General features: G+C 57.2%; 1 protein-coding gene across 1 annotated transcript, besides 13 other annotated features; it reads left to right on the forward strand.

Annotated features, from left to right (window-relative positions):
* Positions 5934 to 6474: an enhancer, noted in NCBI's record as "H3K27ac-H3K4me1 hESC enhancer chr2:232252848-232253388 (GRCh37/hg19 assembly coordinates)". NCBI's record gives its function as "activates a minimal SCP1, AML or CMV promoter by ChIP-STARR-seq in naive H9 embryonic stem cells {active_cell/tissue: H9 hESC(naive)}" and the evidence as "EXISTENCE:reporter gene assay evidence [ECO:0000049][PMID:30033119]".
* Positions 5934 to 6529: a biological region, named in NCBI's record as "Sharpr-MPRA regulatory region 14998".
* Positions 6235 to 6529: a silencer, noted in NCBI's record as "tiled region #14998; K562 Repressive non-DNase unmatched - State 7:EnhWF". NCBI's record gives its function as "represses a minimal TATA promoter and a strong SV40 promoter by Sharpr-MPRA in K562 cells {active_cell/tissue: K562}" and the evidence as "EXISTENCE:reporter gene assay evidence [ECO:0000049][PMID:27701403]".
* Positions 9319 to 9478: an enhancer, noted in NCBI's record as "active region_17281". NCBI's record gives its function as "activates an Ori minimal core promoter by ATAC-STARR-seq in GM12878 lymphoblastoid cells {active_cell/tissue: GM12878}" and the evidence as "EXISTENCE:reporter gene assay evidence [ECO:0000049][PMID:35858748]".
* Positions 9962 to 10545: an enhancer, noted in NCBI's record as "H3K4me1 hESC enhancer chr2:232256876-232257459 (GRCh37/hg19 assembly coordinates)". NCBI's record gives its function as "activates a minimal SCP1, AML or CMV promoter by ChIP-STARR-seq in primed H9 embryonic stem cells {active_cell/tissue: H9 hESC(primed)}" and the evidence as "EXISTENCE:reporter gene assay evidence [ECO:0000049][PMID:30033119]".
* Positions 11129 to 11711: an enhancer, noted in NCBI's record as "H3K4me1 hESC enhancer chr2:232258043-232258625 (GRCh37/hg19 assembly coordinates)". NCBI's record gives its function as "activates a minimal SCP1, AML or CMV promoter by ChIP-STARR-seq in primed H9 embryonic stem cells {active_cell/tissue: H9 hESC(primed)}" and the evidence as "EXISTENCE:reporter gene assay evidence [ECO:0000049][PMID:30033119]".
* Positions 11712 to 12293: an enhancer, noted in NCBI's record as "H3K4me1 hESC enhancer chr2:232258626-232259207 (GRCh37/hg19 assembly coordinates)". NCBI's record gives its function as "activates a minimal SCP1, AML or CMV promoter by ChIP-STARR-seq in primed H9 embryonic stem cells {active_cell/tissue: H9 hESC(primed)}" and the evidence as "EXISTENCE:reporter gene assay evidence [ECO:0000049][PMID:30033119]".
* Positions 12589 to 12638: an enhancer, noted in NCBI's record as "active region_17282". NCBI's record gives its function as "activates an Ori minimal core promoter by ATAC-STARR-seq in GM12878 lymphoblastoid cells {active_cell/tissue: GM12878}" and the evidence as "EXISTENCE:reporter gene assay evidence [ECO:0000049][PMID:35858748]".
* Positions 13189 to 13658: a silencer, noted in NCBI's record as "silent region_12425". NCBI's record gives its function as "represses an Ori minimal core promoter by ATAC-STARR-seq in GM12878 lymphoblastoid cells {active_cell/tissue: GM12878}" and the evidence as "EXISTENCE:reporter gene assay evidence [ECO:0000049][PMID:35858748]".
* On the forward strand, positions 13507 to 18961 carry B3GNT7 (UDP-GlcNAc:betaGal beta-1,3-N-acetylglucosaminyltransferase 7). Its single transcript, NM_145236.3, has 2 exons — positions 13507 to 13611; positions 15528 to 18961. The coding sequence occupies exons 1-2, from the start codon at positions 13601 to 13603 to the stop codon at positions 16720 to 16722; spliced, it is 1206 nt and encodes a 401-aa protein (NP_660279.1). The 5' UTR covers positions 13507 to 13600; the 3' UTR covers positions 16723 to 18961.
* Positions 14907 to 16106: an enhancer, noted in NCBI's record as "CDK7 strongly-dependent group 2 enhancer chr2:232261821-232263020 (GRCh37/hg19 assembly coordinates)". NCBI's record gives its function as "activates an origin of replication core promoter dependent on BRD2, BRD4, P300/CBP, MED14 and CDK7 cofactors, with strong dependence on CDK7, by STARR-seq in HCT116 cells {active_cell/tissue: HCT116}" and the evidence as "EXISTENCE:reporter gene assay evidence [ECO:0000049][PMID:35650434]".
* Positions 15049 to 15118: an enhancer, noted in NCBI's record as "active region_17283". NCBI's record gives its function as "activates an Ori minimal core promoter by ATAC-STARR-seq in GM12878 lymphoblastoid cells {active_cell/tissue: GM12878}" and the evidence as "EXISTENCE:reporter gene assay evidence [ECO:0000049][PMID:35858748]".
* Positions 16359 to 16906: an enhancer, noted in NCBI's record as "H3K4me1 hESC enhancer chr2:232263273-232263820 (GRCh37/hg19 assembly coordinates)". NCBI's record gives its function as "activates a minimal SCP1, AML or CMV promoter by ChIP-STARR-seq in naive H9 embryonic stem cells {active_cell/tissue: H9 hESC(naive)}" and the evidence as "EXISTENCE:reporter gene assay evidence [ECO:0000049][PMID:30033119]".
* Positions 16907 to 17452: an enhancer, noted in NCBI's record as "H3K4me1 hESC enhancer chr2:232263821-232264366 (GRCh37/hg19 assembly coordinates)". NCBI's record gives its function as "activates a minimal SCP1, AML or CMV promoter by ChIP-STARR-seq in naive H9 embryonic stem cells {active_cell/tissue: H9 hESC(naive)}" and the evidence as "EXISTENCE:reporter gene assay evidence [ECO:0000049][PMID:30033119]".
* Positions 18962 to 18973: the final 12 nt, after the last annotated feature.

The following is an 18973-nucleotide window of genomic DNA, read 5'->3' on the forward strand; positions in this document are numbered from 1 at the left end:
GAAAGTTTACTGCTGGACTATGAGGCTCCATGACCAGTGGCCGTGGGTGGGGACAGGCAGGCACTGCAATGCTTTGACTGGGCTTCGTGCCCCACCTAGGGGCTCTGGCCTCGCAGCACTGTCTCCAGGCCCAGGACCCTGCAGCACGCTGCACTGGCCCTGCCCCTCTGCCCTCACCCACTCTCTGGCTGGTCTCAGGGGTCAGAGAGCAAAGCAGGTCCCCAAGCCAGACAGACGTGGCATCAAACCTCATAGCCTTCCAAAGCGATGGAGACACAGCAAAAGCTGACGCCTGTCACCTGTGAATCAGGCTCCAGTTCTCTCACCGAGGCCTGTCACCAAACGCCCTGAGTCCCCGTTACAGCGGCCTTCTGCTCTTACAGCAGCAAACCCAGCACTGAGCTTTTCTCTTCTGCTCTGTTGGTTCTCCAACATCTACCATCAGTAGCCACCCCCGCTCCTGATGTCACCCTCCCATGTTAAGGATAGATCCCAGTTCCACTCTCCAGAATCCTGGGTCCTCTGGCTCTGAAAATGCCCTGAATCTCTCCCACCCTCATCTCAGCCCATCAGTGACCCTCTTCCTGCCAGCCACCCGCTCGTATACCCAGGGCTCCCGTTAACCTTCCAGCCCTGACTCCTGCGGGATGACAGCCCAAGAAGAAGAGGGCACAGGGGTTCCACCCAGCGACGAGAGGGTCTAAGCAGAGATGAGAGGAGGGGCCCAGCCTCTGCTCCTCCTCTTGTCCTGGTGCCTTTGGCTCCATAAATTCCCAGAAGCAAGATGGCGCCATGGGCCTAAAGCTGGCATTAAACCAATATGATTTCAGGGGCAAGACCAAACTGCTGTTCCGAATTTTAGTCTGCGATTGGGCCAAAATGGCATTATCACTTTCCTGGGCAGAGGATCCTCATTTCTGAGTCCCTGTCCTAGGCCGGGGCCAAGGGCTCCAGCCGCAGTGGCAGCAAAGCCAAGACTCTCCCCTAACTCAGCATGGAGGGGAGGGAAGGAAGACCAGGGCCAGGCAGCGGGCTGGGAGTCGGGGGTGTGGGAGCCAAGACGGGGATTGGACTAGGGCCAGGGAGGGCCCTGAAGGTAGGTGCTAAGCTGAGGTGTGTGAGGGACCCTCTGGGAGGTCTTGACCCCATGGGATGCGGAGTTGGGTTTTCCTAGCCCTGGCTCCTGCCTCCGTCCCCCTGGCCTACAGCCCCTGCATGCCTTGGTCCCTGCCTGCTCCTCCCAATGCCACCGCATGCCACCTTTAGGCTCTTGTGGGACCTCAACTCCTCAGCTTCCTGCCCCTCTCCACCTCCAGCTCTCAGACCTTTCCCCTCCCTGTCACTGAACACACTGTGAGGCCCTTGCTTTGAGAGGGCAGGGAGGGCCTGGGACTGTTCCCACGGTGTCCTGTCGGGGCCAGGCACAAGCTCAAACTTAAATGTGCATATGGGTCACTGGGCAGGGCTCGCGGGCCTGAGAGCTTGCACTCTAAGGAGCCCAGGTGCTGTCGATGTTGCTCAGCTTCTGGTCGCAATGCAAGGGTCCCTTCCTGAGCTCACCACACGCTGGGGTCACTCCGGGCTGTGGCTACCACTGGGCCTCGCTTCTGCCTTCTGCAAAAACCACAAACTCCCCAGGGCAGCACATGTGTCACAGACGTCTTTTTAACAGCTTTATTGAGGTATAATTGACAACAGTCAACTCTATGTGTTTAAAGTATACAATGTGGTGAATTTTGACGTGTGTAAACAACCATAAAATCATCGCCATAATCAAGATCGACACAGTCAACGTCACTCCCAACAGTTTCCTCTGGGCCCCTTGTAATTCCTCCCACCTCACCCCATGTTTAGGCAATTGACATTTCTTGTCATGATAGATTAGTTTGCACTTTCTAGAATTTTATACATACAAGGTAAGGCAAGATAGGTGGGTGGGGACAGGCAGGCGCTGCAATGCCTTGGCTGAGGTTCATACCCCACCCAGGGGGCTCTGGCCTGGCAGCCCTGTCTCCACACCCAAGACCCTGCAGCACGCTGCCCTGGCCCTGCCCCTGCCCCTGCCCCTCTGCCCTCACCCACAGTGAAGACACCTCATCACACAAGATATATTCTTTTTTTGACTGGCTTCTTTCATTCAGAATAATTATTTTGAGATTCATCCCTGTTGTGGTGTGTACCAATAATTTAGTCCTTTTTATTTATTTATTTATTTTTATTTTTATTTATTTATTTTTTTGAGATGGAGTCTCACTCTGTCGCCCAGGCTGGAGTGCAGTGCCATGATCTCAGCTCACTACAAGCTCCGCCTTCTGGGTTCACGCCATTCTGACTGCCTCAGCCTCCTGAGTAGCTGGGACTACAGGCGCCCACTACCACGCCCAGCTAATTTTTTTGTATTTTTAGTAGAGACGGGGTTTCACCATGTTAGCCAGGATAGTCTCGATCTCCTGACCTTGTGACCCACCTGTCTCGGCCTCCCAAAGTGCTGGAATTACAGGTGTGAACCATCGCACCTGGCCTAGACCTTTTTATTAGTAGTAGTATTCCATTGTACAGATATGTCACAATTGGTATATGTGCCTACTACAAATAAAGCTGCTGTGAACGTTCATGTACACATCTCGGTATGGACACACATTTTGTTTCTCTTCAAAACGTATAAAAGTATACGTTTAACTTATTAAGAAGCCATCCTGGCAGGGTGCAGTTGCTCATGCCTGTAATTCCAACACTTTGAGAGGCCAAGATGGGAGGATCGTTTGAGGCCAGAAGTTTGAGACCAGCCTGGGCAACATACTGACACCCTGTCTCTACAAAAAAGAAAAGAAAAGAGAAAGAAAGAAACCATCTAACTGTTTTCCAAAGTTATACCAATTTATATTCCCACCAGAAGTGTATGAGAATTCCTTCCAGTTGCTCCACATCCTCACCAACACTTGGTATGGTCAGTCTTTCTAATTCAAACATTCTAATGGGTGTGTAGTGCTTTCTCGCTATGGTTTTAATTCATGTCTCCCTAATGACTAATGATGTTGAGCAACTTTTCATGGGAGTATTTGTCATCCAAATGACTTCTTTGGTGAGGTGTCTGTTCAAATCTTTTGCTAATGTTTCGATTGGGTTGTTTATTTCTTATTTATCACATTTGAGAGTTCTTTACATATTCTTGATACAAGCCCTTTATCAGACATGTACTTTGCAAACAGTTTCTCCCAGTCTGTGGTTTGTCTTTTCATGCTTTTCCAAATGTCTTTCAAAGAGCAGAAGTTCTTAATTTTGATGAAGTCCAATTTATCAATTTTTTTATTTTAGGAATCACGTTTTTGGTGTTGTATCTAAGAAATGTTTGTTTCCATTTCAGTGCCTGGCCCTAGGCATGTATGCCCCTGTTGCTCAATCAGTGCTTGTGTCCGGCAGAGCAAAGGTTGAGGCAGGCTGGCCACGGGACTTTGGCAATAGATGAAGGAAGACTAGAGGTGCGAGGAGACATGGCTCCAGAGGGCTGAAGAAACACTGGTAGTACCTTGAGATGTCCCAGGAGGTGAGCAGGACAGGCTGCAGCTGCGAAGGCAGGCCTGGGGCAGGGAGGTGCAACTTGGGAGCTTGGATGCTGTGTTCTCCTGCCATTGGTGGCAAGTGGCATCTCTCTCCTTTCCTTCCTCTCCCTCCTCTCCTCCTGTCCATCCTTCCTTCTTTATTTCTACCTTCTTTTTATTTCTTGCTTGCTTGTTTGTAAGCTGGCTTTACATCTCTTTTGTGAACTCTTTGCCCTATTTCTCTCCTGGGGTCTTCTTGTCTATCCATGTAGGGGACCTCTGCATGTAGTAAAGGCACCAACCTTTTCTTTCCTATTGCTCCCAATCTTCCTCGGAATCATGATTTTCTGTCTTTTGACCCTGCCAACCTTTGCAGGCTTTGACCAAACCACCATAGAACATTCTCAGACAAGTCACTTCTCTCAGGCTCCCAAGTGTGCTCTCTCTCCCCAGTGACCCCAGACCTGCTGGGGTGGAGGAAGGGGTCCATCTATTTAGGTGAGGAAGGGGTAGATCTGGGTCTTCTAGAAGAACCTTTGAAAGCTCTGTAGCCGGGGGTGGTGGCGCATGCCTGTAGTACCAGCTACTTGGGAGGCTGAGGTGGGAGGATCACTTGAGCCCAGGAGGTCAAGGCTGCAGTGAGCCAAGATTGTGCCACTGCACTCCAGCCTGGGCAACAGAGTGAGACCATGTCTCAAAAAGAAAAAAAAGAAAGCAAGCTCTGATGCTCAAGAAGACTTGTCATTCTCACAGTCTTTGCTGCCCCCCACCAAAAGTTTCCCCATGTTCTGGTGCCCCTGTCTCCTCCCCATCTGCTAGGGCAAGCCGTTTGTGGGAGACAGATCACAATAACAGCATCAGTCTGGAATCTTTAGTCATGAGTGACCAAAACCACAAATGAAAAATTATTGGCTCCTGTAACCAAACCAGGGGAGGCAGGGTAGCACCTAAATTGCCACACAAACATAGTGGCTTAAAACAGCTCACACTGACCATCTCACAGTTTCTGCAGGTCAGAAGTCCAGGCCGGCTCAGTTAGTTCTCAGCTCAGAATTTTATAAGGTTGGAATCAAGGTGTCTGTCAGCCACCGGGGCTTTACTGGGAGGCTCAGGAAGCTCTTGGGTCTAGGCTCATCAGAGCATGGGCAGAATCCAGTTCCTCAAGGGTGTGGGACTGAGGTTCCTGTTTCCTGGCTGGTGTCAGCCAGGGCTGTCCTTGGCTCCTCAAGGACCCCTCTGGAGTCTCTGGACCAAATATGGGTCCAGTAAAGGAGGCCAAAGCCATCTCATGCGCAGAATCTCTAACTTTCTCTTCTGCTGCATCACCTCTGCTTGCAGCCAGCGACAGTTCCTTGCTTTTATGGACTCGTGTGATTAGATTGGACCACCCCAGATAATCCAAGATAATTTTTCTGTTTTAAGGTCCATGACCTTAATTACATCTGCAAAGGCCCTTTTTTCCCTGTGACCTAACATAGTCCCAGGTTCCAGGGACAAGGGTATGGATATCTTTGGGGAAAGAGCATTCATTTGCCCACTGCAGGGCCTCGAAACCAGGATTCCAGCCCTGTTCAGACTCTGGTTTCTCTGTTTTGCTTTGCGTGTTGTTTTAGTCTTTTCCCTGCAGTGAAGGGGCCTGGGGTGCACAGCACAATATTTCCCCAATATATTCAGAGTCACACCTTAAAAACCCTGATGATCAGAGACCAGTGCCCTTTGAAAATCCCCAGGGAAGGGCCTTGATTGACCCAGCTCGGGTCACAGGCCCATCCCTTGGACCAAGCACATTGTTGGGGTGCAAGGGGTATAAGGTACCATGACTGGTCCAACCTGGCCAAGAGGCCACCCCTGAGACTAGAGGAGTGAGGTCTCTACTAAAAGATGGAGACAGGTGCTAGCTACAAAGCCAGAAATGATGTTGTGATTATCATCATAGGGGGCCACCTGTGGACCCTGCTAGTGGGGCTCAGGGAGGCTGCTGCCTTAGTGCTTCACTGCAACCCTGGGAGGTCACACTATTATTATTATTTTTTTTAGAAAATATATAATAATAATATTATTTATTATCATTTATGCTGGGAAGCAGTGGTGCAGTCATGGCTCACTGCAGCCTCAATTTCCCAGGCTCGCCTCAGCCTCAGCCTCCTCTCACCTCAGCCTCAGCCTCCAAAACCACAGGCACGCACCACCACACCCTGCTAATTTTTAAATTTTTGTAGAGACGGGGGTCTCACTGTGTTGCCCAGGCTGGTCTTGAGCTCCTGAGCTCAAGTGATCCTCCTGCCTCCGTCTCCCAAAGTGCTGGGATTACAGGCGTGAGCCGCCACGCCTGGCCGGGTTGCATTATTAACGCTACTCTAATGGCACCAAGTCCCAGCCCCACCACCCACCTGCCTCAGTTTCCTTCTCTGTAAAATGGGACTAACAAGAATCTGTGCCTGGCCAGGCTGTAGGGCTGCTGGGGAAGCAGAGAGGAGGGTGTGTGTGAAGAGGAGGCTTCGCGTGTGTGAGGAGGCCTTTGGCCAGAGCCTGGGAAGGACTTCTGGAGCCCTCCAGCTCTCCAGCCCACCTCTCTCCCAGGGCAGCAGAGCCACGGGCAGAGAGATCTGGCGGGCCTAGTGGGAGCAGGGCTGCCCAGCCTGCACCTGGTCAGGCTCTGCTCCATGAAAAGGCAGCCATTCAGGGCCAGCTTGGACGGCAGCCGGGTGACGAGAGACAGGGAGCCCTGTGCTCCGGAGAGGAAGCAGGCCTCCGTGTGGCCTCAGCGTGGGGCTGAGCTGCCAGCTCAGGAGGGGAGGCGCCCGAGAGGGAAGACTAAGCTAGTGTTTGGGGCTGAGGGGCTGAAAGGAGGCTGTGTGTACCCAGGCTGGCCGCCCGGTGGGCGGGATGTGAGTCATGGTGGCCTGGGGGAGGGTGCTGCCTGGGCCCAGCTGTCCAGGGCGAGGGGCACAATGCCCACCGCGGGTGAATATGTGGCAGTATGTGCTGGGGGTGGGGCTGAGGCTCTGCACATCTGGCCAAGCCGCCCCAGGCTCCCTGGGGTGGGCACACCCCATTGCCCTCTGAATATGGCTGCCCCTCCTCCCTGCCCAGGTCTCCAGGCTGCCATGCTGGCGATGTGGTCCCGTAGTTGCTCAGCCAGTGGGCATCAGCCCCGCCCTTCTGCGTGCTGCCCACCAGGAAAACGGAAAGGCCGGTCCCTGCTCTTAGTGGTGCCCCGTGTGGTGGGACAGGTGGAGGAGGGACAGACAGAGGAGGCTCGTGCAGGGGAACGCCAGCCAAGGAGGGAGCGCCTGCTCCAAGGGAGGGGGCATTTGAGGTGGGTTTTGAAAGATGAGCAGGAACTCACTGGATTCTAAAAGGCGGGTGGAGAGAGCACATTTGAGCAGAAGGAAGGCTGGGATCTGAGTGAACGGAGACCAGGGTTGCTGGATTGAGGTTGGGGGCAGATGCGGGTGGTGTTAAGGGTTTGTGGACAGTGCCCAGAGGGCCCTGAAGGTGATGGGAGGCACAGACTTGAGAACTTGGGCAAAGATCACAAGGGCTGCTCACGGATGTAACAGGGCCCTGCCTGGTCCTCAGCCCCTTCCCAAGGGCCTACCAGGCAGAGTTTCACTGGTAACAGATGAGCTGGCTCAGGGAGGCCCCTTCCACCTGGGAAAGGCCATGGACATGGTGTGTGTGTGTGTACGTCTCTGGCTGTGTGTGGATGGGTGTGTGTGTGTGTGTGTGTTTTTTACCAAGTGTGCATGTATCTCAGGTGTGTGAGGGTTACATGCATGTCTGTGTATCTGACCTCTATGTGTATAGGCATGGTTTGTGTCTCTCCAAATATGCGTGTGTGTCTGTATGTGTATGCATGTCCCTGAGTGTGTGTGTTCATGCGTCTGGGTTCACACGTATGCCTGCGTGTTTCTGTGCGTGTGTTTGTGAGAGTGTGTGTCTATGTGTGCCCACCAACGCCCCTGCCGACAGCAGCCTAGGTGCAGCCCCGCCGCCCTGTGTCCGGGGCGCGCTGCTCCACTTCTTCTTTGCCTTCTGAGCCCTCTTTGCTGGGCTTCCAGTTCCTGGGCATCTTTGAACTCCAGCTTCTCTCTCTGGCTGCCCAGCTCCACCCTGACTTTCCTGGGTCCCAAACCCAAAAAGCTCAGAGCAGCCAATGGGTGCCTGGGCACAGGAAAGGGTCCAGAGAGCTGCCCAGCCCCAGAAGGAGCTGCGTCCTCCCTCCACTGGCCAGCCTGCGGCTCCTCCCCACCCCAGAAAGAAGGGCTGATCAGGAGCACATGTGGAGGCATTTCCCAGCACCTCTCACCTGATTCTCCAGCCTTCTGGGACTCTCATCTAGGGCTCTGTTTTGGATGATCTGAGAGTCCCAGGGGCTTGGCATGAGTGGGAGACCAGGCCCAGGCATCTCTGCAGCTGCTGAGTGAGCCTCTGGAACCAGGTTTTCTTGATAACAGCAGCTTCCTTTGACGGATCTGCCCACTCCAGGCTGTTCTCATGGGGCTGCAAATCTCAGGACTTGTCCCAACCACAGAAGGGAATGCATAACCCAGGCCTGGCCCACTGTGGTACCCCCGCCCCCCCGCAACGTGATCATTGGCCTAGGTTGGGGACATGACTGAAGTGAGACTAGTGAGAGTCCTTCCCTAGACATCTGTATATGGAGGCCGAGACAGGGAAAAACCTCTCTTTTCTCTGAGGTCCCTGAGATGAGGTGACAAATGCCTCAGCCCATTTGCGAGCCTGTGTTTCTCCTGCTCTTCATGAAGAAGTCCGCAGACCTTAGGGAAGAGCTAGGGGCTGGGCAACTGTCCAGAGAGAGAGGCTGTGGAGGGAGAGGGGATCCTGTTATATGAGCCAACAAATCCCTCTGGCTGGAGCCACCTTGGGTCGGGCTGCTGTCTCTCACAACCAGAGGAGCCCTGAGCGATCCGTGCCTGGAACCACACAGCTGGGTTTCCAGGGAGCACCTTTGCCTGGCCCTCGACATGCCTCATCGTTCCTCCCTGGCCTTCTCAGATCCTGCACAGAGGCTGTGGACACCCTCTTCCATTCCTCAAGCTCTAAACCCACTTCTGCTTCCTCAACTGCCACCTATTTCAGTGGGAAATTTTAACTTCCTTAACTCGTTCCTTTCTGGCCCCAATTGCTTCCATTGCCGCTTCCCCATTCTGTCCTCCTCCTGCCCAGGTTCAATGACGCAGTGGCCCTCCTCTGGCCCTGGCTCAAGGCCCACCAAGAGAGCAGGGATTGGAGGGCTGAAAACCGGTGGTTCCCAAACCTGCCTACACTTTGAGAATCACTGGGAATCTCTGGGAAATTACAGTCTCCTAGGCAGCATCCTTGCATGCAGGCTCTGGAATTGGTAAGAAGCACCTCCTCTGGGAGGGCAAGGTGTCTTCCTGGTTGTTGGGCTTGGCTTTATTGGGCAGGACTGGGCCATGGAAGGGCACCTCAGGGTTCCCCGCAGCAGGATGCTGCCTGGCATGCTGCTTCTATGAGAGCCCTGCTTGCAGCCTTTTTTTTTTTTTTTTTTTTTTAAGATGGAGTCTCTCACTCTGTCGCCCAGGCTGGAGTGCAGTGGCACAATCTCGGCTCACTGCAAGCTCCGCCTCCTGGGTTCAAGTGATTCTCCTGCCTCAGCCTCCCAAGTAGTTGGGATTACAGGCACCCGCCACCACGCCCAGCTAATTTTTATATTTTAGTAGAAACGGAGTTTCACCATGTTGATCAGGCTGGTCTTGAACTCCTGACCTCAAGTGATCTGCCCGCCTCAGCCTCCCAAAGTGCTGGGATTACAGGCCTGAGCCACCATGCCCGGCCACATGCAGCCTCTTTAAACTTCTTCCTGTTTCAGTTCAACGCCTTGTGATCTGGGCTTCTTTCTGGCCCAGTCTTCCCTTGGGCAAGGGGAGTTCCCAGACTCCAGACCACCCACACCTTGAAGACACGGTCATCTCCTCCTACCTCGCTGCTTGCTCCATCCTGGCCTTCTCCTCCTCCCACCCCTTCAAAGGAAGACCTGTCCCCCAGGGAAATGTGTTCTCCCTTTTCATTTTCCATCCCTACTTCCCTTCCTGCCCTAGATCCACACACTGCCTTGGCTTCACACAGGAGCCATTTCTGGGAGACATCAGTTTACCTGGGGGCACTCCCCCAGTGCTTGTCTGGGTAGTGAGCCCCTTGACTCAGCAGCCTTGAGGTCCCTCCTGCACTGCCCTGCAGGATGGGTCAGGTTCTCTGCAGAGGATATTGGTGGCCTTCAAGGACCAGAGGTAGTTGAGAAAGCGTAGGTCTCACCCCACCCTTCCCCATCGGGTGGCATATTATAATGAAATCAACTCTCAGACCCAACGGCTACCCTACTGGAAACATCTGTTAGCACGAAGCACAGAAACAGACACCCTGCCCCTGCCCACAAGCTCAGGGAAGTCTCACTCTGTCCTGTCACAACAGCTTTTGTCAGGGTGAATTCAAGGACATGCTCACCATGACTAGCTAACCTCCAGTCAGAGCACCACCTGCGGGGGCCCAGAACCACTCAGAGAAAGTTCTAGACCCGGGGCACTGCCCTGCTGGTGGCTGGACTTGCCCAGGCACAGGCAGAGGGGACTTGCGGTGCCTCTTCCCAGGCACACATCTTCAGCAACACTCTTTTTACTACAGAACAATGATTTCCGACCCTCCCGTGTTAATGTACAGACCCTCTGCTGTGACAGTAGACAACCACATTTGAAGTGCTGGCTGTGGCTGCCCCTGGAGTGTAGACTGCTGCTCAGGGTCTTTCAAAAACACCAACTAAGTTTAACTCACACGCTCACAAAATCACAGCAGCACTGAGGCGATTACAGCCAGCATAGCTGCCTGCCCGTGGCCCCTGCTGGGCTCCGCGCTCTCGCCCCACGATGGCCACCTCTCTGCAAGGCACGCAAGACTCCTCACCTTCTGCTTTGGGGGTCCCTCTGACCCAAGTTGGCCCCCACCTTGTCCAGTCAAGCCACTGACCCAGTGTGTTTTCTGGCCAGTCAGATACTCCCACCCTTGGGTCTCTGCAGCCCTCGCCTCTGGGCAAAGGCCTGTGCTGGGGTTACCAGCAGGGTCGGATTCCAACCTATTCTGGAAGGTTGAAGGGGTGGGATATAAAAGAAAGTGGAGGTGGAGGTAGGGATGGGCTGAGGGGCCAAAAGATGTACTGGGGAAGGGGGCATTTCTTGGGGTCCTCCAACGTCCTGGCTCACGAGCTTCCCCCTCCAAGGGAGCAACCTGAGGTGCACAGAGTGGCCTTGTGACAAGGACACAGAACCCACCTCCACCTTGGCTTGGGACTCCTGCAGCCTATGCAGCCAGCTCATCCGTCACCCACCCTCTTCTCCTGGTATCTGCCACTCTGGAACTTCCCTCTACCTCTGGGCTCTGCCTTCAGCCAGGGTTGGGGACAGCAGGTAGGCAGATCCCATCGCAGACAGGCCTGCCTTCCTCAGGGCCTCGCTTAAATCCACAGGAATCTGCTGGGGCTCTGCCCTCTGGCTGGGGCAGGTGGAACTGGCCAGATTGGCGGTGGGGGGACCACTGTGCTTGCCATAGGGACTGGCCCAGCTGCCCCACAGGGGAGCACATTGGAGTAACAGGGGAGGCTGACCCGAGCCTGGCCCGGCTCCACACTCCCCACCCCCACCCCACCATCAGGGACTCGCATTTAATTGTCATTCATTTCCCCTCTCTGAATTCAAACTAGGCACAGATCAAATGATTCCATGATGACAAACTGCCTGTCTCAACTGACCAGATTCCACTGGCAAACACTCCGCTGACCTTGGGCAGCTCCCTCTGCTCCCACCTCCTCTGGCCCTTGTGCTTCTGGGGCTTTGTGGAGTAGCTGGACATCAATGATAACACTAACAGTAGCCGGCCTGCCACCAAGTTCTTTACATAGGGGATGCCTATGTCTGTGCTTCATTGGCGTCATCTCACAAGGCCCTGAGCTGGCAGGAAATTGAGGTCTCAAGGGGAAAAGCCACCTGCCCCCAGTGACAACCAGGAAGTGCAAGACTCTGACCCAACGCCCATGCCTGCCATCCCCAAACATGGGCTCAAAACCCCCTTCCCAGGGACGGCTGTGTCCACCCCTCAGCAGGAGGAGGAGACCCCACAGCACCGGGTGAGAGGTCAGTGCTGAAGCCAGGGAGGCAGCTCTCAGCAGGGCACCTGTGTGGAGCCAGGGAAGCCAGGGCCACACTTGCAGGGTGAAGTGGGGAACTCGGAAGGCTGGGCAGTGGAGCAAAATGCTTGGTGCCCTGCGGGAACCGGTGGCCAAGGCTACACTGGGATGAAGGGAGCCGTGGAGCTGCAGAATCTGCGGGTGGCCCTCAGTGGCAGGCAGCCAGGCCAACAGGGGCTTTGGGCTGCAGGTCAGCCCCTCCCCTGCTCTGGAACTTTTGGAGGGCCATTACAAAGGACATCAGCCCCAAGATACTCCTCTGAAATTCTGCCTGAAAGGCCCTTCACATTCCCTAATTGGCACTTACAACATTCCAGAACATTCTATGGTACCTTAAGTTTCTCCTCCCCCTCCAAAGGGCCCTTGAACCTTAAGGATAGGGCAGAAGGGGCTCCTCACCCTGGCCTCGAGGGCTTAAGATCCAGCTGAGGACTCCTAGCCTCCCTGTGTGCTGGGCAGGAAAGTAGCTCCATGTCACTGCTGTCCCTGGGAAAGGAAAAAAGGTTGAGGAAGGGCTCAGAGCCAGCCTTCAGACCAGGCAGGAAGGGTTCAGAGCCAGCCTTCAGGCCATGCAGGCCTCCTGGATGTGCTTACTAACTCTGGGCTCGCTGTTCTCTGAGCTGGCTGGGAGTTCCCCTCTGCACCCCCGTTTCCTCCCCTGTAAGGTGGGAATAATAGCGTATGTCTCTAGGATTAAGTGAGCCAGTCATGCATGGGCCGAGAACCAGGTTTGGCATATTGTAGCTGCTCAGTGGACGTTAGCTGTTATGATTGGACCACAACGTGCTTCCGTTTCAATTCTGTGGGCCTTTTGGAGGTCCTGCTGGATGCTAAGCACCGAAACCTCAACCCGGAACAAGACCAGAACAACCTGAGCAACAACAGGACCAGCGATGGCTCTCCCTGCTGGAGGATTCTGGAAGTCACCTGGCTGGACCAAGCCCTCTCCGTGTTCTCTGTCAGCCCACTCCCCAGAGCCGCTAGGCCTGATGTGCACAAGCAGACTAATAAAGGCTTGAGGACAAAAAGGGTTTTGAGTGATAAGTGAAAAAAGAAAGGAGATAGGGCTGGGCCAACAGGCCTTCCCTTGGTGGTGGGGAGCCCTCAGAGGTGGGAGGAACCCCAGAGGTGAAGAGAGGGACATGGTGGGGGCACAAAAAAAGCTTCCAGAGCCACAGGCCTGGGCGAGTCCTGACATGGAGCCCAGTCTCATACGGCCTCTTTCCCTAGTGGCTGGCTTTGCTCCTGGCCCTAGGTAGCCCAACAGCTGGGCAAGGGGTCCGTCTGGTCAGGGGAAAGGTGCAGGGGCAGAAGGTAGCAGAGGGAGAAAAGGACACCCTGTCTGCCTCTGGCCCCAAAGACAAGTCCGAATGGGGCCAGAGGGAAATGGCTGGGCCTTGGGGTGCCCCAGGGTCTTGGAGGGGACCGGGTGTTCAGGTTTCGCACAAGTACAGGAGGGACCGGCGACCGCCCTCCCCCCGCCCCGGGAGGCTCCGCCAGGGACAGGCGTCCCCGGGATTGGAGGTGACCCCCGTGGGTTCCGAAGCCCCGCCTCGGCCATGCACTGTCTACTAGGCGCGCTTGGGGAGCCTAGGGGCCGTCTCGGAGAAATGGGGTGGTCCCCGCCAGGCGGCGGCGGGGCGGGCCCTGGGCGCCGAAGGGGTTAAGGCACCTGGGCCACCGCCCCTGCCGGCCCCTCCTCCCGCGGCCGGGAAGAGGAAAGTCGCGGCGGGGGCGCGGCCCGGTCTCCGTCCCCACCCGCCCGCCGTCCCGCCGGCCCGAGCCGTGGCGCCCAGAGCTGCGAGCCGCTCGCCCCTCCGCCGCTCCGGCCCGGGCCGCCATGTCGCTGTGGTGAGTGGGGCTGGGGGCCGTCGGGGGCCTGGGCGGGGGCGTGGGCCCGGGGCTCCCCCTCCTCCGTGGCCACAGACGGGCGCCGGGACTCCCGGGATAGGAGATGCCCCCGCGCGCGCCGCGCCGGCCTCAGTTTCCCGGGGGCGGATGGGCGGGCGGGCGCGGCGGCGGCGGCGGGAGATGTTCGCGGTACGCGGCCCCGGACCCGTGGGGGACGTCGAGGGGTCTCGGGGCGCCGCGCTCAGCTCCCCGGCCCCGCGGCCCTGGACACCGCTCCAGGACCCTGGCGGCTGGGACCCCAGGTCTTGCCGGCAGCTGGGTCCCCTCTCCCTTCCAGACCCCTGAGGGCCCCCTGCGTCCGGGCCACTCTCCTCCTCTCGGGGCTTCCTTCCGCGGGACCTCGGACCGCCGCCCGCCCGGCCCCTCTCCGCCCCTCCCGGGCTTTCCCTACGAATGGAGCGGACCCGGCAGGTGGAGCGCCCGCAGCCCAGGGCCTCGCCGCCTTCCCGGTGCACCCCCCGACCTCCCCCGTCCCGGCCTCGGTGGGCGGCTTCCCTGGAACCCCTAGGGCTGGCAGGGCCGGATCCGGAGCCCTCCGTTTCCTCCCCGGAGAGCTGGACCTTGGGTCACACCCCCCAGCCTGCACCTAAGGTGCCCCTGTCTTCCTCCAACCACATGCCCCAGCAACCTGGGGACCCTATGGGGAAAATGTCGCTCTATGGGGCTCAGCCTGCATTCACCCTGGGGCCTGGACCTGCAACCGGACCAGCCCTCAGGGCAACCCAGGCGTCTCCACGGGCTGCCTGTCTCTCCTGGCACCCTGCTCCTCCCCCTTGGAGGTCAGCGCCATCTCTCTGCTAGGCTGGCCCTGGAAGGCCACTCTGCTGTCCCCAGAGCTCTCAGCCCCCAGGTCTCCACTGGGGAGGGTGGGGCAGGTGTCCTGGCAGCCCCCGGAGGGTGAGATGAAGAGAGGAGGTCCTTCAGGACAGGGGCTCAGGCCCCAGGGCTTGGGACGACCAGCACTCCTGGCAGAGAGCTCTAATTTCTGCTTCCGAAATGGGTGTGGACCGGGGTTGGGGTGGGGGGGTCTCTGGGCAAGAAGGGTCCCTCAAGGGCTGGAGCTGCAAATGTGCCCCCTCCCAGGGAGTAGAGCTGTAGCCTCATGTCTTCTAATGGGGTGTTATGAGCTGGGGATGTTAAGGTAGGGGTGAGGGGCAGTGCCATGCTAGAGGTGCTCACTGCATCCTTGGGCCTCCATCAACCATGAGGGCTGCTCTTTGTTGGGTGAGACAGACTGGAGAAGGGGGAGGAGGGCCAGTCTTCCTCAGGTCCCAAGCTCGAGCCACTCTCCAATGTGCCCCACATGTGATGGAGCTCCCGGGCGGCACAGAGGATCAGAGGGTGCCCTCTCAATGACTCTGGCTCTGAGTCACCTAATGATACCGATACCTACTGCTGTGGGTAGGTACACCGCAGGGAAATGAAAGGCATTGGGGTTCCAGGCGTGGGGAACAGGGCAGAGGTTTCCACCTGAGGCCCTCCTGTTAAGGTGACAGCATTCCCCTAACTGTGCACCCGCTGCCTGGTACTTTATATAGCACTCCAATCCTGTGTTTTAGCCCCATTTGGGGGAAGAAGAAATCGTGGCTCAGAGTGGTTGTAAACCACTCATTCAGCTTGTAAGCGTCAGGGCCTGATTCCACAGTGCTCCTTGAGGAGAGGGCAGGGTGGGAGAAAGAAAGGGCAGGGTGGGAGAGGAAGCGGGACCCTACCCTGACAGCTTAGGGACTCCGGGACTGAGCCTGTGCCCAGGTCCACTTGCCCGTCTGGGACCACCCAGCCTCCCAAGGGGGGCGCCAGGAGAGCCCTGGGCTCATCTTTTCTCTCTCCTCTGTACTGTCCGCTCTCCCCCACAGGAAGAAAACCGTCTACCGGAGTCTGTGCCTGGCCCTGGCCCTGCTCGTGGCCGTGACGGTGTTCCAACGCAGTCTCACCCCTGGTCAGTTTCTGCAGGAGCCTCCGCCACCCACCCTGGAGCCACAGAAGGCCCAGAAGCCAAATGGACAGCTGGTGAACCCCAACAACTTCTGGAAGAACCCGAAAGATGTGGCTGCGCCCACGCCCATGGCCTCTCAGGGGCCCCAGGCCTGGGACGTGACCACCACTAACTGCTCAGCCAATATCAACTTGACCCACCAGCCCTGGTTCCAGGTCCTGGAGCCGCAGTTCCGGCAGTTTCTCTTCTACCGCCACTGCCGCTACTTCCCCATGCTGCTGAACCACCCGGAGAAGTGCAGGGGCGATGTCTACCTGCTGGTGGTTGTCAAGTCGGTCATCACGCAGCACGACCGCCGCGAGGCCATCCGCCAGACCTGGGGCCGCGAGCGGCAGTCCGCGGGTGGGGGCCGAGGCGCCGTGCGCACCCTCTTCCTGCTGGGCACGGCCTCCAAGCAGGAGGAGCGCACGCACTACCAGCAGCTGCTGGCCTACGAAGACCGCCTCTACGGCGACATCCTGCAGTGGGGCTTTCTCGACACCTTCTTCAACCTGACCCTCAAGGAGATCCACTTCCTCAAGTGGCTGGACATCTACTGCCCCCACGTCCCCTTCATTTTCAAAGGCGACGATGACGTCTTCGTCAACCCCACCAACCTGCTAGAATTTCTGGCTGACCGGCAGCCACAGGAAAACCTGTTCGTGGGCGATGTCCTGCAGCACGCTCGGCCCATTCGCAGGAAAGACAACAAATACTACATCCCGGGGGCCCTGTACGGCAAGGCCAGCTATCCGCCGTATGCAGGCGGCGGTGGCTTCCTCATGGCCGGCAGCCTGGCCCGGCGCCTGCACCATGCCTGCGACACCCTGGAGCTCTACCCGATCGACGACGTCTTTCTGGGCATGTGCCTGGAGGTGCTGGGCGTGCAGCCCACGGCCCACGAGGGCTTCAAGACTTTCGGCATCTCCCGGAACCGCAACAGCCGCATGAACAAGGAGCCGTGCTTTTTCCGCGCCATGCTCGTGGTGCACAAGCTGCTGCCCCCTGAGCTGCTCGCCATGTGGGGGCTGGTGCACAGCAATCTCACCTGCTCCCGCAAGCTCCAGGTGCTCTGACCCCAGCCGGGCTACTAGGACAGGCCAGGGCACTTGCTCCTGAGCCCCCATGGTATTGGGGCTGGAGCCACAGTGCCCAGGCCTAGCCTTTGGTCCCCAAGGGGAGGTGGAGGGTTGAGGCCTACGTGCCACTGGGTGTGGTGGGGTGCAGGTAGCCAGAAAGGGACCTCCCTGTGTGGATAATTCTAGGAAACTGAGGCCCAGGAACGGTTGGAGCTGCCCAGTCTGGAGGCCCTCTCTGAGGAGCGAGGCGCCAGGCCCTGGCAGCCCTCCTGACCTGGGTCCGTTGCTGGCCCCCTCAGATGTGGTGGGAGGTCCTGGTGACCTCTGGAGGAACGCTGTGCTCAGGTACCTGGGCTAGGCCTGGCCTGATGGGTCTGTGGCCGCCCCTCGTCTTCACAGGGAAGAGTCTTCTGTGAAATGCCTCAGTCTCCCCAGAGGCCGGGCGGCCCTGGCAGGAGAAACTCAACCCTGTGCGGGCTCACAGGCACCCCCCAGTCCACACCCTGGTCTCCTGGGAGAGAGGGCCCAGCCGGCTCTCCGCAGCCCCAGGCCTGCCTGGAGACGGGCCGCCTCTGCCACAGGGCCTCCACTCCTGGCTGTGTCCTGTAAGGTCTGGAAGGGCGACCGCTCTGACTACCTCAGCGCCCCTCAGAATCTCCCTGGGGCTGCAGCCCTACCCCACCCCGACACAGGGCAGAAGAGCAGCGCTCCTGGCCCCCCGAAGTCCCAGAGCTGCTGACCCCCACCCCAGGCAAGTCTCTCCCGCAGCCCCCACACCCCCAGGCCTGGCTCCCTGGCTGGAAAGCAGCCGGTTTGGCCCTGGAAGTGGACATTCCTCTATTACTGTGAAGTTTTATTTATGAAGAATTTGGAGGGAGAAGGCTCCAGGCTTCAGGAGGGGGTGGTGTCCTCCCTGGCCCTCCTCCCTTCCCTCCCCTCATTCCAGCTGCCTGCCCTCAGCACCCCCAGGCCCCTCACAGCCCAGCCCCCTCCAGAGCCCTGCCCCACCGCACCCTGCTTCTCCAGGGCCTAGCAGACCAGCATCTGCCCCGGTGAAGGGATGGATCAGCTGTGGGGGTGGGTGCAGAAGGTTGCCACCTCCTACCTCAGCGGGAGTCACCTAGGAAAGATGGAGGGATTGACACTATTTTCTCAATAAAATGGGACTTTTTTTTTTTTTTTTTTTTTTTTTTGGTGTGAAACTTCCTGTTCCCAGCTGCATCAGAGAGCCTGTCTGGGGCCAAGGTTGCCAGAGATTTCTGAAGACACAGCTTGTTCCTTGTTCTTGGCTGGTGGGTGCACAAGGACTTCTGGAAGGGATTTAGACGGGGCTGAGTGCTAGGATTAAAGTGGGGATGGGAGTACGGCAACAGAAAAACCTGGGAGCTAGCAATGCACCCAGCCCTTGACTGTGCCCTGGTGGACAGCCGAGCTGTGGCTCTAGCGTGAGCCAGTGCCTTCCTGTCCCTGCCAAGGGTGAGGCCAGAGTTGGCCCCGAGGCTAATGTTTCAGTGGGTGAGATTAGGTCGGCCGTACAGAGGCCGGTGGGCTCCCTGACATCCCTTCCAGGCAACCTGAAAGCACTGAAATAGCTTATGGCCCTGTGCCAGGGACCTTGGCCCAAGCTGCTGACCTCCAGGGTGGGGAGGGAGCTACCCCCAGGAGAAGAGTCACTCAGACAGCAGTATGAGCAAGCCAGCCAGCAGCTCCGTGCCTGCACCCAGCTCAGGGGAATCCCAGGGGGTTCAGATGCCCAGGAAGGAAAAGGGGACAGCGCTACTGCTATGGAATGAGACCACCACTTCTCCTGTTGTCCTTCCCAGCTTCTCCCCAACCTCCCCTTTTCCCTAGTTTATAAGACAGGAGAAAAGGGAGAAAGCAAAAAGCTGGAAAGAAACAGAAGTAAGATAAATAGCTAGACGACCTTGGCGCCACCACCTGGCCCTGGTGGTTAAAATGATAATAATATTAACCCCTGACCAAAACGACTGGTGTTATCTGTAAATCCCAGACATTGTGTGAGAAAGCACCGTAAAACTTTTTGTCCTATTAGCTGATGTGTGTAGCCCCCAGTCACGTTCCTCACGCTTACTTGATCTATTATGACCCTTTCACGTGGACCCCTTAGAGTTGTAAGCTCTTAAAAGGGCTAGGAATTTCTTTTTCGGGGAGCTCGGCTCTTAAGACGCGAGTCTGCCGACGCTCCCGGCCGAATAAAAACCTCTTCCTTCTTTAATCCGGTGTCTGA

The sequence above is a fragment of the Homo sapiens genome, chromosome 2, assembly GCF_000001405.40.
Source record: "Homo sapiens chromosome 2, GRCh38.p14 Primary Assembly".
NCBI classification, from domain to species: Eukaryota; Metazoa; Chordata; class Mammalia; order Primates; family Hominidae; genus Homo; species Homo sapiens.